Source organism: Homo sapiens, chromosome 18 (assembly GCF_000001405.40).
Source record: "Homo sapiens chromosome 18, GRCh38.p14 Primary Assembly".
NCBI classification, from domain to species: domain Eukaryota; kingdom Metazoa; phylum Chordata; class Mammalia; order Primates; family Hominidae; genus Homo; species Homo sapiens.
This window is the reverse complement of record NC_000018.10, coordinates 33,390,297-33,415,570: the sequence shown is the minus strand read 5'-3', so window position 1 is coordinate 33,415,570 and position 25,274 is coordinate 33,390,297. Positions and strand designations below refer to the sequence as shown.

General features: G+C 32.4%; 1 protein-coding gene across 8 annotated transcripts in view; it reads left to right on the top strand.

The window, feature by feature from the left end:
* Positions 1-25,274, top strand: part of CCDC178 (coiled-coil domain containing 178) — a 503,635-nt gene that overhangs the window by 25,470 nt on the left and 452,891 nt on the right. For all 8 annotated transcript variants that reach the window (NM_001371120.1, NM_198995.3, XM_011525951.2 and 5 more), the window contains exons 3-4: positions 3,461-3,540; positions 18,363-18,422. In NM_001371120.1, coding sequence (NP_001358049.1) covers positions 3,483-3,540; positions 18,363-18,422 — 118 coding nt within the window. In that variant the 5' untranslated portion in view covers positions 3,461-3,482. The remainder of the gene's footprint in view (positions 1-3,460; positions 3,541-18,362; positions 18,423-25,274) is intronic.

The window sequence follows — 25,274 nt, the reverse complement described above, 5'->3', positions numbered from 1 at the left end:
TCCCCCATCCCCCCACCCCACGACAGGCCCTGATGTGTGATGTCCCCCTTCCTGTGTCCATGTGTTCTCATTGTTCAATTCTCACCTATGAGTGAGAACATGCGGTGTTTGTTTTTTTGTCCTTGCGATAGTTTGCTGAGACTGATGGGTTCCAGCTTCATCCACATCCCTACAAATGACATGAACTCATCATTTTTTATGGCTGCATAGTATTCCATAGTGTATATGTGCCACATTTTCTTAATCCGGTCTATCATTGATCGACATTTGGGTTGGTTCCAAGTCTTTGCTATTGTGAATAGTGCCGCAATAAACATACGTTTGCATGTGTCTTTATAGCAGCATGATTTATAATCCTTTGGGTATATACCCAGTAATGGGATGGCTGGATCAAATGGTATTTCCAGTTCTAGATCCTTGAGGAATCACCACGCTATCTTCCACAATGGTTGAACTAGTTTACAGTCCCACCAACAGTGTAAAAGTGTTCCTATTTCTCCCCATCCTCTCCAGCATCTATTGTTTCTTGACTTTTTAATGATCGCCATTCTAACTGGTGTGAGATGGTATCTCATTGTGGTTTTGATTTGCATTTCTCTGATGGCCAGTGATGATGAGCATTTTTTCATGTGTCTGTTGGCTGCATAAATGTCTTCTTTTGAGAAGTGTCTGTTCATATCCTTAGCCCACTTGTTGATGGGGTTGTTTGTTTTTGCCTTGTAAATTTGTTTGAGTTCTTTGTAGATTCTGGATATTAGCCCTTTGTCAGATGAGTAGATTGCAAAAATTTTCTCCCATTCTGTAGGTTGCCTGTTCACTCTGATGGTAGTTTCTTTTGCTGTGCAGAAACTCTTTAGTTTAATTAGATCCCATTTGTCAATTTCGGCTTTTGTTGCCATTGCTTTTGGTGTTTTAGACATGAAGTCCTTGCCAATGCCTATGTCCTGAATGGTAATGCCTAAGTTTTCTTCTAGGGTTTTTATGGTTTTTGGTCTAACATTTAAGTCTTTGATCCATCTTGAATTAATTTTTGTATAAGGTGTAAGGAAGGGATCCAGTTTCAGCTTTCTACCTGTGGCTAGCCAGTTTTCCCAGCACTGTTTATTAAATAGGGAATCCTTTCCTCATTTCTTGTTTTTGTCAGGTTTGTCAAAGATTAGATGGTTGTAGATGTGTGGTGTTATTTCTGAGGGCTCTGTTCTGTTCTTATGTAACTGCATGCTTCATTCAAGATAGTTTTTTTTTCTAAATTTGCTTTACTGATTCCTTATTCAGCCTAGTCACAGCTACATTAAAATTAAACCAGGGAGTTTAGAATTGCAGTTATGGCAGTTTTCAGTTCACAGATTTCTAACTGGCTGCTTTTCAAATCGACAATATTAATTTTTATTATTTTTAGTTTTGACATTTTAAAATTTGATGTTATAAACATGATCGATTTATAAAGATGTTAAGCAAAGTTTTCTAGTGATATATTATCTGGTAATTTTGCTATTTAGAGTGTCTTTGGATTAGTTTATGCTGTCTTTTGTTTCTGTTGATTTTGGTTACATAGTCATTTTGTATGTTGAGTGTCCTGTGAGTCAACACACAAAATGGGCAAGAATGGCCTTACTGAGATTTGGAATTACCCGGGTAATTTGAGGCTGGGCTTCAGTCTATGGGCAGTCTTCTCATAGATTTTATTTCTGTTTCATTCTGTTTCTTGAAATACAGACTTTTGGGGTCTCAGTCCTAGGAATGGGTTAATTTCTCAGGGCACCTACATTTGGCAGAGTCTGGATTCCATCTTCTGTTTCCAAAGTTTTGTGTGGCCCTCACAAGTACTGCCCAACCTCTCAGTTGCCTCTCCTGGGTCAGATGTTGTCCCCAGGGAAAGAGTGGCCTAAAATGTTAGTCTCACTTCTCTGGATTTTTGACTTCTATTAGATCTGGAACTAGGTATTCCTTATTACCTTGTTAATTCTTAGATGCTTTTTTGAAGATTCAAAAATTATATTTCAACCAGATTTTTTAATAGCAGTAGAAGCATTTTTTTTTCAATTTACCCAGTTCTATCTTACTGGAGGAATTCATTTTCTTATTAATATTATTTAATTTTTCCAGTAATTTTGTGTAGTAGAAGAAATAAAATTATATGTTTTAACTATAATCTTCATTGAATTAAAAAATGTTAATGTCCATAAAACACTGTTATGTTCTCTCAACATTTAGTTATGCTCTTTTCTATAGCTTACTTTTCTTTAAAAGTTGGTCTTTATGAGGTAGAGTGGTTTATTTGGAAGAGCACTAGGCTTGGATTTAGGGTTTTCTTTCATAGCACTTTTGTCTAAGAAGTCTTTTTTCATTGCATTAATTTACTAATTTCAGTCAAGATTTTCTGACTTGTAAAACAAACAAACAAAAAATAAATTAGATGATTTCCAGTATCTAAACTATATAATGATTTAGATCTGCAAATTAAATGAGACAATTGTTATTTCTGTGTTTATAGAATTATTTTCTTTCTGTTCAGCACTTTGAGTTTCTAATTAATACCAATTTGCAGGAATTATAGGGAACAGAGAAACTTGTTAAATACAGCACAGGGAGGTTGTTAGCGATGTGGAAAACTCTATAGGACAAAATATTTGATATTTACTTAGGTAAAGTACAGGGAGAAAAAAAGTACAGGGAGAACGCATAGACTAAAAGATAATTAAGAGACATTTCACTTAAATGCTATGTACGGACCTTGTTTGTATTATTGCTTTAAACAATTCTTAAAAACAGAAAATGTGAGACAAATGTGAACACAAAATATGTTTAGTGATATTAAGACATCATTAATTGTGTTAATTACATTATTGGTATTATGGCTATGTTTAAAAATTTTTTGAAATATTTACAGATACAATAATATGATACTTGTGTTTTGCTTAACCATTATCAGAAGTAGGTGAGACAGGGCAGTTTGTAGGTGTATAGAATTCAGAATTGGTCACAAATTGATAATTGTTGAAATTGGTTGATGGAGATATAGAAATCCATTGCACTTTTTGCTCTACTCTTAAAATATTTTAAAAAGGAACTGAAGGAAGGTAAAGAAGAGATAGATGGTAGTAAAGTTAAACTTTTATTATATGAAATGAAAACATTGTAGGTTCTAGAATCCCCCCAGGGCTGTGAACCCATAGCTACAATTGCCAATGCTAAATTATCTCGTAGTCAGCCTAGGTATTGGTTTAAGTCACTAGCAAAGTAGAAGATCAAAGATCCCTCTTTAATGAAGATTTTTATATTTGATATTTCTGAATGAGATCGTAATAGTCCTAATAAGAAAAAGAGTACATTGTTGGACTTCCTTACATTTTACATCCTTACATTTTACACTATCAGTTCTTGAATTGACAATTTTTAGTAAAATTAAATATAAACTAATTTAGATTCATGATATTTAAATATTTTTCTTTCTAATTAGGTTTTAAAATATTCTTATAACTATGACTGAAAACAAGACAGTTTCCTCTTCTTCCACTAGAGATGATCAAACCAATATAGGTAAGTTTATCATAAATTGATTTTCTTTGAAAATAGTTCATAGATAAATGGAATTCACATCACTTACAGAGGAGGGCAACTGCAAAGATAGTAATCTTTTCCAAGATAATGGTCACAAAACCAAAACTTACTGGGACCAGTAAAGTGAGCTAAGAGAAAAGAGTGAGTCAGCGTAACAAAAACACATTATCTGAATTATAATCAGTTTATTTTATAATTATGGATGAACTGTGTTATAGGTAATAAAATAGGTAAGCAGTACAACAATGGTGTGCTGTAATCAGCTCTTGTATATATCTCTTCTCGATTCCATTCCACTGGTAACTTCAAATTGGCCATGGTGTTAGTATTTATTACCAACTAACAGCTGGATATTAAACTTTTACTATCACATCACTGAAGCTAAACATGGAATATTAAAAATGAAAATACTAATATAATTCTATTTTTAAAATTATATGATTTTATTGCATTACTTTATTTTTTTGCATCTTGAGCTCTGACATCTTTTATTCTGTATCATGTTAGCAATGTCATATCTTTGCATGATATAAAACAGAGGTCAGTAAATTATAGCCCATTGCCCAAATCTGGCCAGCAGCCTTTTATTTACAGACCCCAAATTAAGAATGGTTTTTATATTTGTAAGGAGTTGTGAAAAGAAAAGAAAAAAGAAGACAATAAGGAATATGCAACAGAGACTGCATTTGGCCCACAAAATCTAAAATTTTTACTATCTGATGCTTTCCAGAAAACATTTGCCAACCCTGGTATAGAACTTAACCTTGAATACTTTGAGAACAATAGGTAGTCTTTGTATCAGTTATCACTGCTGCACTGATGCTATGTAACAACCAACCATAAAAATGCAGGTGCATACAGCATCATGAACATTCATTTTATGCTCACTTGTGCATGAGTCGGCTGGATGGTTCTGCTGATATCAGGTGGGCTCAGTACAGCTCACTCATGCATCTGGAGTAAGCCACAGGTTAATTCAGTACCATTACTGATCTTGCTTATTTTGGCTGAGCTCGTTTACAGGTCTAGGGTCTTGGCTGGGAAAATTAGGCTGATTCAGCTCTGCACTTGCTTGTCTCTCATATTCCAGCATACTATTAAGGGGCTTGATCTCTGGGTTTTGGCAGTTTCAAGAGGAGGGACAGAAGCACAGAAGACCTCTTCAGGCCAATGCGCAGAACTGGTGCCCTATCATTTCTGTCACATTTTATTGATCAAAGCAAATCACAGAACTGGCACAGATCTATGGGTAGGAGATTAGACTCCACCTCTTGATGGAAGATGCTGCAAAGTCACACTGCAAAGGAAAGTGAATACGGGGAGGAGAAAATTATTGGGGTTATTATTGCAATCAACTTACTACAATTTTCTTCAGGGTTATAATTGAAAGCAGTCATTTAGTAATTCCAAACGTGAATAAGGTCATGACAGAATGGATTTTATTTAAAATTATTAGCCTTGGGTTAGAATCTTATTTCATCACCACATATTTTCAAAATATTTGAAAAACCTTGGTTTGTAGCTCTTTATTTCTTCTATCAACATTAATTGAAAAAAAATGTTATTTCATTTTCATTTATAGAGTTTGTTTTGTAAAGCTTAAGCAAAAGCTTGTTTTTATTTCTGGAAATTGATCCCAATCTCAGATTAGTAACATGGAACAAGTTATTCATTTAAAATAATTTCCCCAAAAACACAATTTGGAATGAACAGAGAATCATACAGGTGTGTAACTCATATTTAAATAGTTGAAAGAACTGAAAGTTTTGGGGTTGATTATAATGCGAATTAAAAAGACTAATAGTTTGTTCCAAGACTTCAGAGAGCTGCGCTGGTGATTTTCCTTTGAATGACTTGACAAAGCCTATTCTAAATTGGAACAGAAAATGATCCAGTCTACACTCGTTTGCAAGCAAAAGCTAGAAAGTCAATCATATTAAGCATGACTTAAGCCACCCACCATCATTTGATGCAATAGATATACATAGCAGATAAAACTACATATCACATGATTTAATGGAATGTAAGTCTTCTGTGATATAGACATCTGTAAATGCATAAGAAATGAAAATATGTCTGTTTGGCTAACACTTTGGAAAAGAATATAGTTAATAAATTGTCTTTTAAAATGTGCTTGGTGAGCAAGTTTAGGACTTTTGTATTTAAGTGACATTAAAAGCCATATTTGAAATGCTAACATCAATGGGGATTATCAGTTAAAATTTACTTTTGTCACTTTGGCTTCACACCATCATCAGATTTCCTATTCTGTATGTAAGACAACCAGCCATTATAAACAACATACAGCTAATCCAGAAAAGCATTGAAATTTCTGTGTTTAAGCCACAGGAATTTATCAGTCCTGTGTGTTTATGCCAGTGTTTATTGCTATGTCTTTGAAGATTTTAATTATGTATTATATACTAACTTTTGAAAAAGTTTGTCATTAATTCTATCACAAGAACACCATGGGAGGTCATATTTACTAACTTCTGTGAAAGTACATTCAGCATAATAACACTTTTAAAATTATCCGAAATAAAATCATTTTTTGATGTTCTTTCGTTCATGATGTAACTACTGCAATCATATGGAAACTCTCACCATTCTAAAAATAATTAATGGGGCCAGGCGCAGTGGCTCATGCCTGTAATCCCAACACTTCAGGAGGGTGAGGTGGGTGGATCACTTGAGACCAGGAGTTGGAGACCAGCTTGGGAAACAGAGTGAAACCCTGTCTTTACAAAAAATACGAAAATTAGCCAGGCCTGATGGTATATGCCTGTAGTCCCAGCTACTGGGAAGCTGTGAGATAGGAGGATCCCTTGAACCAAGGAGGCAGATGTCGCATGCGGCTCTGCACTCCAGCTTGGGTGAAGAGCAAGACCCTGTCTCAAAAAACAAACAATAAAAATAAAAATAATTAACTGGATGATTATTCTGTGTTCTCAGTTGACATAAATCATAAAACAAATTACCAATCTTTTTCAAATTGTTCTGTAAAATTACAGCCATATATCTTAAACAAGCTGACCAATAGTATTTTCAGATGAGTCACATTTACAAATGGTTAGCTCTGTTTGGGCTAACAATTTTTATTGCAATTAACAGGACCTTTTAACAAACTATAATTTTTTGGCTTTGCAGGCAGTATTTTCTCTAAATACAAAACTGCATTTCATGGCAGCATCACATTTATTTGTATCAAAATACTGATAGTGCGTTTATTTATTAAGGTTTTTCCAATGTGTCTTTTCCATAACATGTTTTCTGTATAACAGGCAGAGAATGAATTTTTTTACAGAATAGTGTTTTGATATTTTAAAATAGAAAATACTTTGCATGTGTAAACATATCTGGAAAATACATGTAAAGTTTAAAGAATATTGATAAAATTATATATTTGTGCACTTATAATTTGGCTTAAAGAATAGAACCTGGTGTTCACTCATCTCTTCCAAATCTCATTTAATTTTATATATTACATATAAATATTAATGTAATACATATACAGTTCTATATATTTTATTTCATCTAACAAGTTTAACTCTCCTATTCACTAATGTTTGTTAAATCATTTGAAAATAGTAAGTTTTAATTTTTACTTTCTTCTCAATGTAATTTTTTCCCATTTTCTTCTCTATCACTAGGCTGGTTTTTTGTGTGTGTGCCCTGTTGAATGAAGGTGACTAAAATGTGCACACATCTTCCTGTTCATGATTTTTAAAGTGAGACTTTTAATGTTTTGCCATTAATTTTTTTTATGGTTTGTAAAGATCATTCTTTATAATTTTCTATAAATTGTGAACCTGTTGTGAATTTTATTAATACTTTTTCTACATCTACTAACATTTTTCTGGACTTTTTTTTCCTTTAATCTTTAAATTTAATGACTTGCATACATGGATTTACAACTTTTAAATAAACTTCATTTCTGGGACAAACAACTTTTTAAATTTTACTGTATTTTAATATATTTGTAGATTTTGTTTCATAATCATTTGTTTAGGATGTTTGCATCTTTCTTATTCAGTAACATTGGCCCCTAGGTTTTCTGAACATTTCTTGTTTTGGTAATGAGGGTTTTATTACTTCTAGATTGAATTATAGAGTGCTTCTTTATTTTCTGTTCTCCAAAAAAGATAATATATTTTTATTATTTTTTTTCTGGAGTATTTGGCTAAAATTACCTCTTAATTTGGAGGGATATAATTATTGATACAAAATATTTATTGGCCTTAGTACTACTCAAGCTTTCTGTTTATCTTCTATTCACTATTGATTAGCAAGTTATAATTTTTTCTTTTAAAAATCTATTTGGTTAAATATTAAATGTTTACAATACTGTTGTACAATAGTGTTAATAATAGTCTTTACTTTTATATCTCTCTATATGCAGTTGTTTCTTCTTTACATTCATAATACTGTTTTTGTTTCTTCTGGTTCTCTGTTTAGTCTTGACAGTCTTGCCAGAGGTAATTCATTTGTGTTAACCTTTTCAAATTGCTAATATCAAAACTTTTGGATTATCTGTAGGTTTTTGTTGTTATTTTGCTTTGTATTTTATGAATTTGGGATATTATTACCTTCCTTCTCTTCCTTCTACTTTCTTTGAGTTTGCTGTCCCACATATTTTAAATTTGGTTGCTTAGATCGCTAATTTTCAGGCTTTTTTCTTTTTTAATATAGTTATGTCAAGCTGTAAGTTTCCCTTGAAATAACATAGAGATAATAAAAAGGATTGGAGAGTCAAATCAAATCAGACTCATATAAAGTGTGTATCTTTGCTAACGATTTTAAGGCTATAGGAAATTCTCAAGTACAGTTGAAGCAGGGAGACATCTGGGACCATCAGAACAGCTCTCCAGGTCCTGTCTCACCTGGTTGGATGTACTCTGCTCCAGATTAAAGAATTATGTGTTTAAGCATGTATGTGCAGCCATGCGACTCATTCAGAAGACTGCCCTCTAGTCATGAAACAGCTCCATTTTTTATTAAGGTAGTTTAATAGTTAACATGATGTTTTTCAGGGAGCCATATCCCGTAAACACGTAGGTTCAGGTTTGTTTATGGTTATAATTCAAACAGCCAAAAACATCCTGCTGAAAGCTTTCTGTTGATAAGAACTCTCCAGTTAACAAACGTCAATTAGTATGTTTGCCAGAATTTCTGTTATTAGCATGTTTGTTAGGAGATTTGACCTGGTTACCTGTTTCCTTTCTTTGGGGGCCTCTCCTTTACTCCCCATGGGAAAGTATGGATTATAGACTTGCTATAACTTTTAGATTTAATTGGTTTTGATTTATTTTTGACATATATTATTTAGACCTATGAAATATTTTGGTTAAGAGTATAATATCTATAAGATCATCCTTATGGATTATGTCACTGAGATCTACTATATGTTTTTACTAATTTTTATCCTTTCAATCTTTATTAGATTGAGAGAAATCTGTTAATCTACCTACTTTTGGTAGATTTTTCTGTTTCTCTTTTCATCTCCTCAAATTTGGTCCCATGTAATTAGGTGCATAAATGTTATGAGCTGTAATACTATTATTTTATATAGTAGTCTTTCATATTATGAAATATTTAAACTTGCCCCACTATATTCTTTGATCAGAATTCTATGTTGTCAGATATAAAGATCATGACAATTGCTGTATTTTCTATTGATTTGCCTAGTATATTTCTGCCCATCACTTAAATTAAAACTTTCTGAATCACTTTGTGTGATGTATACAACATATTTTTACAGTTCACTTAACTATTGATGATTTAAGCCCGTTTACAATTACAAATAAGACTCATAAAGTTTCATTTTCATTACATTTTTATATTTAAATGCATTTATACATATGTATTTTGTACATTATTTGCTGTCCTTTTTAACACTTAGAAAAGTTTATGATACTAATATCTTACTTCTCTCTCTCTTAGATAATGTGTATTGGATCTTTATTATGAGCAATACCAAAATCAGCTAGGAAGCTTTTCTTGCCTTTGCATTCCGTCTTCCTATCATTTAATTAAGGAATATTGTTTTATTCCTGGCTTATACTTATATAGTATTCTTATTGTATTTTGCATATACTCCCACTCCACACCCAACACCATATTTTTGGTACTAGTACTGTATCTGCATCATCAGTACTGGATCTGCATTGTCAGAGCATAAGTACATAAGCCTTCCAGCCTATTATACTTTTCCCATCCTTCGATATTAGTTAAAAAGCTAACATATTCAAGATTCACTGCCTGTACTATGCCAAATTTCTCCCTTCATTTTTGTTGTACTACATCTACTTTCTAGTGGATTCAGAAAGGGATCCCAGGAAATATATTCTTTCATTTCTTGAATGTTCATAGCAATTATCTCTGGCCTATATACTTGAATGACAGTTTTATTTGATAAATTATTTGGCTTACTTTTTTATATAATTTATTTTTTGTTTATGAGAGTATCTTAAATGTATTATCTAATTGTCATTTGACATCAAATCATACCAATTTTATTTTCATCTAATTATAATCAACTTAGTATTCTTATGTAGATTCCAAAGGATTTTTTATTTTTTGTTTTTTACTGTTTAAAATTTTACTAGAATATAAAAATTTTGGAAATACAAAAAATATGACATGCCTAATAGTAAAACACTACTGTTTTCTTTCATATACATTATCTTTTAATGGATATAGATGTATTTATACAGATGCATTATAAGTATAATTTTAAAATTTAAATTATATAAATAACATACATTTTTGTAATTCTTGATAATTACGTTTTTATTGAATAATAGTTCTCAGTCTTCTTTATCATAATTTAAATAACTATTGTTCTATTTTGGCATATATGCTAAGTGATACTGTGTTTAGCTTTTTAAAATTAAGCTACAATTCACATAGCATAAAATTTACCTTTCTAAAGTTTACAATTTAGAATTTTTAGTATAAGTTTGTGTGGCCATTACCACTATCTATTTCTAGAACACTTTCATAACCACTGAAAGAAACCCTGTACCACTAGCATTCTTTCCCCATTCCTCCTCTACCCAGCCTCTGGAACCACAAATCTGTTTTCTTGCTCTATGGATTTGTTTACTCTAGATATTTCATATCAATGATTTTATAAAATAGTTGGCTCTGCATGCCTTTCACCTTTTCAACCAAGATAATGCTGTCAAGGTTCATCCATGTTGTAAAATGTATTCATATTTAATTCCTTTGTATGACTGAATACTATTATTCTTTATGGATATTCCACCTATTGTTTATACATTCATCAGTAGATAGATGTTTTAGTTGTTTCTGTTTTAGGAATATTATGAATAATGCTGCTATGAATATTTGAATACAAGTTTTTATGCAAACATATGTTTTCATTCCTGTTGGGTGTATAGTTAGGAATGGAATTGCTGGGTCATTTTGTAATTTCAGTGTTTAACTTTATTAGTAATTGCCAAATTGCTTTCCACAGAAGCAGCCATAGTTTACATTTCATAATACAAAATACATGGACTCCAGTTTCTCCACATCCCTACCAACAGTTATTAGTTTCTTGGTTTGTTTTTACTTTATTATTATAGCCTCCTAGTGGCTGTGAAGTGACATTTCACTTATTTTTTTTTTTAATTAGTAGACTGTCTTTAGAGTATTTTCAGGTTTATAGAAAACTGGTACATAATACAGAGCTCTCATATACTCACTATCTCCTAACCCACATTCACAATTTCCAATATTATTAACATCTTGCATTAGTGTTGTGTATTTGTTAAAGTTGATAAACCAATATTGATACATTTTTATGAACTAAGGTCCATGACTCATTCTTTTGTGGTACAGATCTCTGGGTTTTGACAAATGCATAATGTTATCTCATGCTTCTCAGATTTCTTTTCACCTTAGGTTTAACAAGAAGTCTAGAGGGGCTGAAGTGAATATTTCCCTCTTTCCATTGGTTAGTCTCTGTTAAGGTAGTTTCCCTTGAGGGGTAGTGGTAAACCAAACCTTCTGGGTATATTTCAAAATGGCAATTTTTACCCTGGCAATAATTCAAAATAACTACTTTTCCCCTTCTTCTAGAAGTCGAAAGGAGTATTCCTCAAATTTCAACTGTGAGAACAAGGTGGAGCTGGAGATAAAAGTAAAAATATACCTGGCCCTCTAATACTGACTCCCCAGAAGTTTTTAACTCTCAAACTAGTCCACACTCAGCCTCCAATAGTTAATCAATTAGATCTTACACTTCTCTACCCATTTTTGGCTCCAGCAACTTCTGCATTAGCCTGACCCTCCAGTTTTTGGGGTGTCAGTTTACATTGTAACCTTAATTCACTGATGGACCTAAGAAAAATTGTTGAGTATTTCCGTTCAGCTTTTTCTTTTAAGAGAAACCGAATGCTGACTTTCAAGATTTTTATGTATCAAAGTGTAACTGTAGTATCCAAACTGATTTTGACAAAAGTCTATTTGCTTTATTCCTCTGTATGAACCATTTGTCCGGTTTTTTTTTTTTTTGGATGTCATACATTTTTGTTGAAAACTGGGCATTTAAAATAATAGAACGTGAGAACCTGTGGTCATCAGATTGTTCTTCTTCTCTAGGGTTTGCTTTCCCTGCTGATTTTTGTAGTTGTTAATTTAGCAACTTTTCTAAATTAGTTCTCTGAAGCCCTCTGTGGCCACTCACTGAAATCTCTATCCAGTTGGCTTAATGGTCAATTAATGGCGGAACAGATATTTCTCTAGATTCCTGGAATCAAATCTCTGTCTTTGCTGAGCATCTTTATGTGCATGTTCAGATACATCTTCAACACTCATCCAAGGACTTGACAGCTCAGCCTTAGCCTTTCCTTCTGGCACATGCAGAGTCTCAAGGTCAACCAGAGGTGAGAGATTAGGGCTTTCATGGGTCTTTTCTGTGTGTGTGCCAAATCCTCAAATGATAAAGGGATTTGGTTATATGGGTGAGAGATGAGACTGAAGTAATTGTCTATTGCACTAGTTCTCAACTAGAATTGTGCATCACAGTAACCTGCAGAAAAATTTAAAAAAATCTACAAGTCTAGGCTCTCCCCTGAAGATTTTGATAGAGTAAGTCTAATAAAGCGTGGACATGTATGTTTACAAATATTTCCTTGAAGCCAGGCATGGCGGTGCAGCAGCTGTAGTCCCAGCTGCTTGGGAGGCTGAGATGGGAGGACTGATTGAGCTTGGGAGTTTGAATGTAGCCTGGGCGACATAATGAGACCCTTCCTCTAACAGTAACAACAACAACAAAGTCCTCAAAATCTGGATACTATTCTGGTTAAGAACCACTGAATAGATAAGTGTAATATGTAAATTCTCATATCTCAGAAATGTAAGATATCTCTAGAAGAGTTGGACTTTGATAGATGCTAATTCCTTTAAATCTCTTCTTTCCGATAATATTAGCCTGACTTTTTCCTGATCATGCTCACAGCTTTAGAAGTGAAGTCTTGCAGGGAATAACCAGGTATTTCTAAAAATGACAGTTCTTTAGGAATGAGGCTTGCAAAAAACTGCAACTCTCTTCTTCCTCCTCCGATATCGTAAATGTGGACCTTTATTTTTCAAGGCTCTGTTGACCTTCAGAGTCAGGGCTGGGACCAAGGAAAGTTAAGAAGCCACAAATGTTTGTGTTCTTACCAAGATTTATCTGTTTTTCTTGAATAGTTGTTCACACAGTTGCTGGAAGCCTTTGCTATATTTCTGGAATTCTGAAAATGTTGATTTTGACAATTTCGCCTTTTTAAATCTTTGTATTTATGGAGAGGTAGATTTTTCAAAGGTCTTTATCATTTTCTCTGATATCTCTTTTTAACTTTTGTCTTTTGTGGGTTTTTGTTTCAAGTTAAGTATTCAGAATTGAAATTTGGGGGACATAGGCTGTGAACATTTGTGTGGCCTTCAATATTTATTTTATATTGTTTTCCACAAATGTACCTCACATTCAACTGTTTATCAGTATTACCACAACATATTAATACCAGATTTTATTTGATTATTATTAAATAGCTAGTTTATTAAATAGAAAATGACCACAATTGCTCTACTTTACATTTTTATTACCAAAGAATATAAATAATTTCCATGTGTTCATTTAATTATTTAATCTTCTCTCATTTGGACCTTCTGATGATGGATTGTTAATAGTTAACGTTTTCAACTTATATAAATAAAACCTGAAGCCTTTATATATTATTTCTTTTTGTGTCATATTTAGTGAAAATAATTGCCCATCTACCTTTGAACTTCTGTCTTGAGTCAAAGAAGATAAAAGTATCATTTTTAATATATTGTTAAATTATTAAATCTAAACGCATGACTAAATGTTATATATCATGTTAATTTTTATAATTTTAATATATTTTGAAAAATTTTAAATTCTGTAGTTCATTAGGAATTTACATTAGAAAATTTGTTTACTGATAGAGTGGTTTTGATGAATACATTCTATTGGAATTTTGTAACTGGAATATTGTATAACAATACAGTTATCCACCAAGGCAGAAACATGAATTAGAGCATGAATTTATTTGAACCAATGTTTTTCAGGGTCTGTTTCATGTGCAACTCTTTGTAGAAACTGACTATAGGCACCTCTCGTTTTATTGCACTTCACTTTATTGCACTTTACAGATCCTGTGTTTTGTTTTGTTTTGTTTTAATTTGAGGTTTGTGGCAACTCTGTTTCCAGCAAGTCTATGGGCAGCATTTTTCTAACAACATGTAGAAAAACTTCATGTATCAATGTCACATTTTAATACTTCCTGCAATATTTCAAAAACTTTTTCATTATTTTTATCTGTTATGGTGATCTGTGATCAGTGGTATTTGTTGTTACTATTGTAATTGTTTTGGTGTAACATGAACTACACACATATGACAGCTAACTTAATCGATCAATGTTGCATGTGTTCTTACTGTTCCACTGTCTGTCCCCCACATCTATTTCTCTCTCCTGTAGCCTCTTTGTTCCCTGAGACATAACAATATTTGTACTTAGGCCATTAATAACCTTACAATGCCCTCTAAGAGTTCAAGGGAAAGGAAGAATTATGTGTCTCTCACTTTAAATCAAAAGCTAGAAATGATTAAACTTAGTGAGAAAGGCATGTTGAAAGCTGAGATAGACTGAAAACATAGTCTCTTGTGCTGAGCTGTTAGCCAAGTTGTGAATGCAAAGGAAAAGTTCTTGAAGGGAATTAAACGTGCTACTCCAGTGAACACAGGAATGATAAATCAAAACACCCTTATTGCTGATACGAAGAAAGTTTTAGTGGTCTGGATAGAAGATCAAACCAGACACAACATTCCCTTAAACAAAAGCTTAATCAAGAGCAAGGCCCTAACTCTATTCAGTTCTATAAAGGCTAAGAGAGGTGAAGAAGCTGCAGAGGGAAAGTTGGAAGCTTGCAGAAGTTGGTTCATGAAGTCTAAGGAAAAAAGTCATCTCCATAGCATGAAAGTGCACAGTGAAGCAGCAAGTGCTGATGCAGAAGCTGCAGCAAGTTATCCAGAAAATCTGGCTAAGCTAATTGATGAAGGTGAACATGCTAAACAACAGATTTTCAATGTAGGCAAAACAGCCTTAGAAGAACTTTCATAGCTGGGGAGGAGAAATAAATGCCTGGTTTCAAAGCTTGAAAGGACAAGCTGAGTCTTTTGTCAGAAACTAATGCAACTGGTGACTTTATGTTGAAGTTAATGCTCATTTACCATTCTAAAAATCCTAGGGCCCTTAAGAATTATGTTAAATCTCCTCTGCCTGTGTGCTATAAATGAACCAACAAAGGCTAAATGACAGTACATCTGTTTGTACCGTGGTTTACTGAATGTTTTAAGGCCACTATGGAGACCTACTGCTCAAAAAAAAAAAAAAAAAAATTTCTTTAAAATATTACTTCCACTGACAACATATACATCCAAGAGGTGAAATGGAGATGTACGAGTAGATTAATGTTTTCATACCTGCCTACACAATATCCATCCTGCAGCCTGTGGATCAAGGGGTAATTTTAACTTCCAAGTTTTATTAGTTAAAAATGCATTTCATAAAGCTATAGCTACCATAGATAGTGACTCCTCTGATGGATCTGGGTAAAATAAATAAAAAACCTTGAGGAAAGTGTACATGTGTACACCATTGAGAATATTCATGATTCATGAGAGAAGGTCAAAATACCATTAACAGGAATTTGGAAGAAGTTGCTTCCAAGTCTCCTGGATGACTTTGAGGGATTCAAGACTTCAGTGGAGGAAGTTACTGAAGATGTGGTGGAAAGAGCAAGAGAACTGGAATTCGAAGTGTAGCCTGAAGATGCGACTGAATTGCTGCAATCTCATGATAAAAGTTTCATGGATGAGAAGTTGCTTCTTGGGAATGAGCAAAGAAAGTGGTTTCCTGAGATGAACTCTATTCCTGGTGAAGATACTGTAGGCATTGTTGAAATGACAACAAAATATTTACAATACTGCATAAACATAATTGGCAAATTAACAACAGGGTTTGAGAGGATTGGCTTCCTTTTTGAAAGAAGTTCTGCTGTGCATAATATGCTATTAAACAGCATCACACGCTACAAAGAAATCTTTTGTAAAAGGGTTAATCCATGAGGAAAACTTCATTGTCCTACTTTGAGAAATAACCACAGACACTCCAACCTTCAGCAACCACCACCTTGATCAGTCAGCAGCCATCAACATTGAGGCAAGACCCTCCATCAGTGAAAAGATTATGACTTGCTGAAGGCTCACATGACCATTAACTTTTTTTTTTTTTTTTTAAGACAGTCTTGCTCTGTTGCCCAGGCTGGAGTGCAGTGGCGTGATCTCAGCTCAGCGCAACCTCCGCCTTGCGGGTTCAAGCAATTGTCTTGTCTCAGCCTCCCGTGTAGCTGGGACTACAGGCGCCTGCCACCACGTCCAGCTAATTTTTGTATTTTTAGTAAAGACAGGGATTCACCTTGTTGGTCAGGCTGGTCTCAAACTCCTGACCTCAGGTGATCCACCCACCTTGGCCAATCATTAACTTTTTAAAACGGAAATATTGTTAATTAAAGTATCTTTTTATTGTTTAGACATAAACAATATTTAGACAATGTTTAGAAATATTTTATTGTTTTAGATATAATATTATCACACACTTAATAGACTACAGTATAAAATATAACTTTTATATGCTTTTGGAGACCAAACACTTTGTATGACTCACTTTATTGCAGTTGTCTAGAACTGAACTTACAATATCTCCGAGGTATGCTTGTATTCTTGGTGTGGTCATTATTTCACTCTAATGTGTTCCCTCATTCCTCCAGTTAACTGTATTTTTCATTCAGCAAATATGTATTAACACTTACTATGTCTGGGGTTCTTTGCTACTTGCCGAAAATACAGAGGCTATAAATAGATATACTCCTTGCCCTCATGAAACTTGTGTGTTGAAGGAGAGAGACATCATAATTTATCTTGGTAATTTAGGAAAATCATTATGAATGCTGAACTTCGGGATATTCTGTTTTTGCATTTCATATGATGATTTCTTATTAGCACAAATCTCAATTTTATATTTGTAAATTGTAGATTTTCTAGTTTGAATCTAAATTTTTTAAAAATTTCTTTGAGATACCTAAAATATTTATAAAATTATCTGATAGCTTTTCAAAATTTTTAATTTTTGTGGGTATCATATCTTATCATGGAATATAATTTATTTTCATATGTCTGTTTTTGTATAGAGAAGAAACTGTTTCTTTTCATTGATCTAGACATTTATTTCTTGCAACAGTCTTTGAAATATATCCTTAGAATATTAGACATATTCAGATATTTAAAGGACAAGGCCCTCTCTCCACTACAAACACATGCACATATTTGCCATAATTTTTAGATTTTTTGATATTATTGCTCATTTTTAAAATTTAAAAATAATTATTAAGTCACAAATAAAGTAGGCCTCATATTTTTATAGGTTATTAAACTGGAAAAAGATACTTTTACAATGTTTATCTTCCTAATGTGAAGCATAATTTACATTCTTGTTTGTTTAAACTTTTTTTATGTTCTAGTAATATTTTGTACTACCACAGTTTTTTAAAGCCTAGATATAATTATTAAATATGTTCCTACATAAGTTATACTTTTGTAACTATAATGATATGTCTTTAGGGTATATTTTTAGGTCATTGGTGTTGGCAATGCTGTCTTTTCTTTTATAAAAATCATGCTGTATTATTTATGTCACATGTATGTAAACTCTCTTTAATCACTTTGATTTTGTACTGAGGATTTTCTAGAGATGCAGTTATGACGTGCGTAAATAATTGCGTTTATCTTTCTTCATGTATTGTATTTTTTCAATAAACTGGGCTATGTCATAAGGCCAATCTTACCATACTGTTGGATTTTTTAAATCCATATATAACTTTGGAAATTAGATTAAACCTTCATTTAAGTTCTCTTGAACACTAAACAGAGAAATTACACAGAAAGCTTCTATTAAAATTGTGAATCTATTTATCATCCCAGAATGTCACCCAAGATGACTTTCCATTTTCTTCCGCAGTGTTTTCTATCAAATGCCCTTTTGCAGAGAAACACCATCAAACTTTGTCTTTCTCTCCTACTTACCCCTTCAGCCCTTTCTTATGTAATTTAGCCTATATGTCTTTATTCTGATGCTGATTTTCTTCCCGTATCCTTACTAGTGCAATATAGGGCAGAATATTTGACTCAGGAAGCAGATATTTTATTTTGTTTTATTTTACCTTTTATAGGTTTAACATGTCAGGAAGTAAAGGCTCTCAGAGAGAAGGCATGGTCAAGGACAAATGAAGGTATCCAACAGCTATTATATATAATTTTCATCTCTTTTTTCTGTCACATATTAATTGTTTTCAAAAAATTATAAGCATGAAAATAATTTCAGGCATTCTTCTGTTCTTCCTAATTGATGTTCTATCAATGAGAATAATCGTAACGCTTCTTTAAAAAAATACTTATCTATTGCTAGTGTATGTTATGTACTCCATTTCCTGTGTTTCCTTTTTCGTTTTGAATAATGCATACTTAAGAAGAGTGTACAAACTTAATATGTGGGTTTTTTTCATAAATGATTATGAGGAAGCATCTGTGTCACCTTCACTCACTCCACACATAGACGTTCCCGGCATTTCAGAAGGTCTCCCTGTACTCTCCTGAACAATTCTTTATGCCATCCACTACCTGGGCTTTTGTGGTGCTAATTTCCTTTTCTTTTTAATTTTAACTGTAGTGTTCCATATGTGTGCATCCCTAAAGATGTAATTTAATTTTGCATGCTTGTTAATTGAAATTAAACTGAGTTAATATATGTTTGTTGCTGCCCTTGTTCAACATTACTTGTTATCTTTATCCTTGCTACTTTTTTTGCTCAATGTAATTTGTGGCTTTCATCCATTTTGCTGTACCATTGTACAATACCATTTTTTGTTATTTTGAATAATGCTTCTAGAAACCTCCTTGTACATATATCCTGTGTGAGTTTCTCTAAGGCATACCTATCAGCAGAATTGGTAAGTATGTGGTATATCTATCGTTGACATTATTTGATAATGCCAAATTATTTTCCAAAGTAATTACATGAATTTACAGTGACATAACAGTGTAGGAATGTTCCAGTTGCTCCATTTTTTTCCTACCACTTGACAATATTAGATTTTTAAAGTATTGACAATCCCCATACTATGTAGCAATGTCTTATTGTGGTTTTAATTTAAATTTGCCTGATTATTATTGATGTTGAAAATTTTTTCATGTGCTTTTTGGCATTTTGAGTTCCACTTTTGCAAATTGGCTAAATCTTTTTTCTAATTTTCTAATGAGTCATTTGTCTTTTTTCACATTGATTTTTAGGAATTTCTTGTGTAATATGAATACTAGTTCTAAATCAGTCACATATGTTAACTAATTTTTTTTACGTTTATGCCTTTTATTTTTAATCTATTTATATTGCCTTTTGATGCACAAACGTTATTATTTTTTCAAGTCAAAGCTTTTTACATATTATTCAAGGAAATCCTAGTCCAAGGTCATGCAGATATTCGTCCAATTCATCTTCTAAGCATTTTGGAGTTTTGACTTTTACACTTAGATTTTCAATCCACCTGGAATTGATTTTTGCGTGCTATTTAAGTTATGGTGTCTACCTTTGTTTTGTGTTTGATTACTTTGACTCTGTACTCCTTATTGCTTTTGAAAAATTATTCATGGGCATTCCATGATGCTTAAAATACAGATGACTTCTTCCAGAGTATACATGTTTTTGCTTCTGTCAGGAACATAGCACTGTACCGATATGGCACAAACTTAAAACAAATTCAAGCATAGAGGCTTCGGTAGAGTGTCCAATGATGAAAACCTAATCTGCAAATTTAAGTGATGAATAGCCAAAGTTTTAATGTCACAGGGGTGAGGTTTTCTGCTTTTGTTTTTATTTTTGTATATTTAGTGTATACTCAGAGAAAATGTCTCTACAGTGTCTTGAGCTCTGGTAGAGGTCATTGGGGTGGTTATTTCTGGTTAACCTTTGCTCCGAGGCTATAGCCAATTGTTATCCAAATTTAAAACGAGTTTTACAATTTAGTTGGGAGTTAAGGCATTCTAATTTTTTGTGCTATAGGCCCTTTGAAGCTTGTTGAAGCTTATACTCTCTGGCATGAAAATTATATTTTTAAATGTATTATAAGAAGTACAGAAATATTTTAAAAATAGAGTAATTTTTCCCCATCCGATTTCACGAATCACTTAAATTTTGTCTATGGAACGTGAGACTAGGTTGTCTTTTTATTTTCTAAAACTTACAAGTCATCAAACCCAGCCCAAATTTTCTAGGAATTGTCAATGACTTTTGTGTCAAATGTCATTTTGCACCCTGTGCTCCACTTAGAAGTATAGTTTCTGCTCTCCTTTAGATTTTGTCCTAGTAGTTTGTAACTATCTTGTTCATATATGTATACATATATATATATATATATATATATATATATATATATATATATATACACATACATATACAGGCTTTTAAAGTTATTTTCAGTGGAAAAGTAGATCTGATAAACCTAGCCTGCCATTCCAAGAAATATGAATTATATACACTATTATTTTGTATTGAATTATACATTTATAATAAGAGGAATTTTTCTGGCTTATATAATTTAACAAGTTTAATCCTCTTCTGAATTATATTTCTTCTCAAATTTGGGAGATAATGTGCTTTAGGACATATTATTCAAACAGTGTACTATTTAATATATATTCCAAGATATGCTTAAGGAAAATATAATTCTGAGGTAAAATAAAACTGAGAAATTTTGTATAATTTATATTTTCCTTGAAGTTTTTTTGATGAGCATTAACACTTTGAAAGCTCTAATAAGTCTTGCAATGAAAAAACCTTCTTAAGTAATATGTTATTTGAGTGTAGAACTGCAGCTTTCCATACTTACAAGAATCTCTTGGAATTATATATTGTAAACAGGATTTAAAGAGTGCTAGTGTAGTTGAAAGACTGGAACTAGACACAAAGTTTAAATCTTAGTTCTATCACTTGCTAACTTTGTGAACCTGGCTTGGTTCACTGCCTTTCTGGGCCACATTTTACTCATGTGTAAAATGAAAATTAATATGTGTTATTGTAAAGATTAAGTATCATAGTATAATAAATATGTTGAAGTCAACTGTCATGTATATGTTCAATAAATATTAGTCATTCTCACTTTGAGATTTTTTTCATCCTCATTGGTTCAATAAATTATGGTAAATTTATACTGCAAGATACCATGACACTGATGTTTTATGTAATGTAATATAATTCTAGTTGTATAATTTACCATTATTTTATAAACTTCTAAGAAATAAAAATCTACCAATTAAACTATTCCACATACCAACCTTGAATTTTAAGATGAATCCTGATGTGACTGATCTTAGTGTGTGAAAAAAAATTTTCTAACAACTTGAAATATAAAGTTGAATTTGAAGTATGGTTTAAAGTTGGTAAGGAATCTCTCTGTCCTGAGAATGAAAGAAATGTATGTATACGTGTCTCTTTACATATATTTTATATATATGCACACTTGAACACACTTATATACACACTCATTTAACAAACAGAAATGAAAGCATAGGTCCACAAAACTATTATCCCAGACCATTCATATAACTTTATTCATAACAGTGAAAACTGGAAACAACCTAAATGTCCATCAGCAGAAAAATAGATTTAAATAAATACTCTGTAGTTATGCAATAATATAATGTGGACCAGTGAAAAAGAATGAGCTGCAAATACATGGAGTAGCATTGGTGAATCTCAAAAATATATTGAGCAAACAAAGTCAGATAAAACATACTCGATGCATTTAATTTCATTATTGCAAGGTCCAAGAAAAAGACAAAACTAAGCTATGGTGATAAAAATCAAAATAACAGTTGCCTATAGTAGATGAGAAACTTTCAGGGGTGATGAAAATTTTTTCTAGCTTGAATGTCATGGTAATTACATTTATGTACACACTTATCAAAATGCATTAAATTATAAATTTAAGGTGGCATTTTCTTCCATGTATGCTATAAAATAAAAAAATTGTTTTACTCTAAAACCATTAAAACATTTTTATGTATTATAAATACACCATACACACATAAATATAAGGTTTAAATGCTTGCAGAATGACTTACATTAATATATACTAACAGTTACAGATAGAATATATGTTAAAGCTCACTAAAGCATAAAATAAGGCATACATATGAAATATTCTCATAGGTATAAAGGATCTGGAAGTACACACAAGAAAATTGTAACATTGGTTGCCTACTGACAACCAGTCTTGGAGTTGTGGTGTCTACTTTTCTTTTGTGTTTGATTGCTTTCACTCTGTACTCCTTATTGATTTTGAGAAATTATTCACGGGAAGACCATGATGCTTTCCACTGGATTACCATGGGGGCAAGAATGGCATTCAAGTGACTGATGCATTAATTTTCTTTTAAACTTTCAAATTAATTTTAACACAGTTCTATAGTGTATGAAATTTTGTTGATTTTTGTTTTATTTGCACTTAATATTTGCAGTTTTATTTATTTTATTTTTTAGAGAGAGGGTTTTACTTTGTTGCCCAGGTTGGAGTCATGGCTCACTGCAGCTTTGAACTCCTGGGCTTAAGTGATCATTCTGCCTCAGTCTCTGGAGTAACTGGGACTACAGGTGCGTGCCACCATGCCCGGCTTTCCAATTTTATATTTTTAATTCTTCTTTTTAAATAATAATGCATTAGGTTTATACAATTCTGATTATTTCGTGTCAGTATCTGACTTACACAAGAATTTGATTCTATTACAATTTTGATTCTTTCGTGTCAGTATCTGACTTACACAAGAATTTGATTGTAGAAACTTTATTCTTTTAATACTCTGGACATACCACAAAACTGCTACATTGCAAACCCCCCAAATCACTGGTTGGGGTACTGAATGTAGGGATTGGAGTCATTGAGACTCAGTCAAGTTGTGGGAACATCCGTTTGAAGATTAGAGTAAAACTAAAGTTCAAAGATAATACTGAGGTCTTAATTATGGGAAAACCTCATCTCGTCATCACAGAGTTTGAAGGAAGTGATTAGGGACCGGGACTGAAGTTGTGGTTACAATGCCAGAAGCTCAGCAGCTTGGAAAATAGGACATTTGCCTCTAGTGCTCTATTATAAACAAGCCCCTATGGGTTGGGGTGGCTGATATATAAGGAAGATTTTTTTTGCAGTTTTAGAATTATTTATTTCTGGCCAGGCATGGTGGCTTATGCCTGCAATGCCAGCACTTTGGGAGGCCAAGGCGGGCGGATCACCTGAGGTCAGGAGTTCGAGACCAGCCTTGCCAACATGACAAAACCCCATCTCTACTAAAAATATAAAAAATTAGCCAGGCATGGTGGCGCACTCCTGTAGTCCCAGCTACTTGGGAGGCTGAGGCAGGAGAATCGCTTGAACCCAGGAGGCAGAGGTTGCAGTGAACCGAGATCACGCCATTGCACTCCAGCCTGGTGACAGAGTAAGACTCCACCTCAGAAAAAAAAAAAAGAATTATTTGTTTCCTATGTTTCCCTTTAATGTCCTAGTACATATATATATATTTCACTTTTACCAGTATTTTAAATGGTATTTATTTACAATTAAACATTTAAGTTCTGAATGTATTTCTGTTTTGAATACATTAACATTTGTTTACAAAGTGTTTCCTTTTTCATACATATTTTTTATGACATGGAATCCTTCCTTGACACATTTGTTATTTGGAAATATACATTAAATTTCCAAATACCTTTGAATTAACTTTATGTGACAAATTTCTAACTGTACAGTAGATTAGTTATATAGTGCAGCTAGTTTCTACTTATTAAACTTTTTTGAATTGTTGTCTAACATACCTACTTTTGCTACCTTTAAAATGATGTAATCTGTATCTTTTTGCAATTCATAATATGTATATCAATATTACCTTATTGTACTCATCACATCCTGTATGTCATTTTGTTATTCTGAACTTCATATGCCACAGATGAATGACGGTGACTTAGATTTTCCCCTATATTTTTTCTCTAAATTTCTCTTTATGTTAAAAAATAAGATTTTTTTCTAATACAATATGCTGTTTTATTGCACGCATATAGATTTTTTATTATTATCTGTAACTTCAATTGTAAAGTAATAACTCTCGGTGTTGTTGAGCTTAAGGTCTAGATTTGTTCATATTTAGTCACATCAAGTTTTCTTTTTCAGAAAATAATTGTATACATTTTATTTATAATTTTTTTCTGTATTATTTTATATTTGGTTCTTTTTGGGTAAATTTAGTCATTTATATATTATAATAGCTATTTGATTAGCACTATCTTTTATCATTTTTATATTTTTTGAACAATTTCCTATTATTGAATATTTTTGCTATAAACTTACTTTTGCCTTATTTTATGCTTTAGTGAGGTTTAACATATAAATATTCTATCTTTAACTGTTAGTATATATTAACATAAGTTAATCTGCAAGCATTTTAACCTTATATTTATGTATGTATGTGTGTATGTATTTATAATATATAAAAATATTTTAGTGGTTTTAGAGTAAAACAATTTTTTTATTTTATAGCATACATGGAAGAAAGTGCCATCTTAAATTTATAATTTAATACATTTTGATAAGTGTGTACATAAATGTAACTATCATGACATTCAAGCTAGAAAAAAATTTCCATCACCCCTGAAAGTTCCTCACCTACTATAGGCAACTGTTATTTTGATTTTTATCACCATAGCTTAGTTTTGTCTTTTTCTTGGACCTTGTAAAAATGAAATTAAATGCATCGAGTATGTTTTATCTGACTTTGTTTGCTCAATATGTTTTTGAGATTCAGCAATGCTACTCCATGTATTTGCAGCTCATTCGTTTCACTGGTCCACATTATATTATTGCATAACTACAGAGTATTTATTTAAATCTATTTTTCTGCTGATGGACATTTAGGTTGTTTCCAGTTTTCACTGTTATGAATAAAGTTATATGAATGGTCTGGGATAATATTTTTGTGGACCTATACTTTGATTTCTGTTTGTTAAAAGCTTAGGACTGGAGTTGCTGCATTAAGTGTACATATAT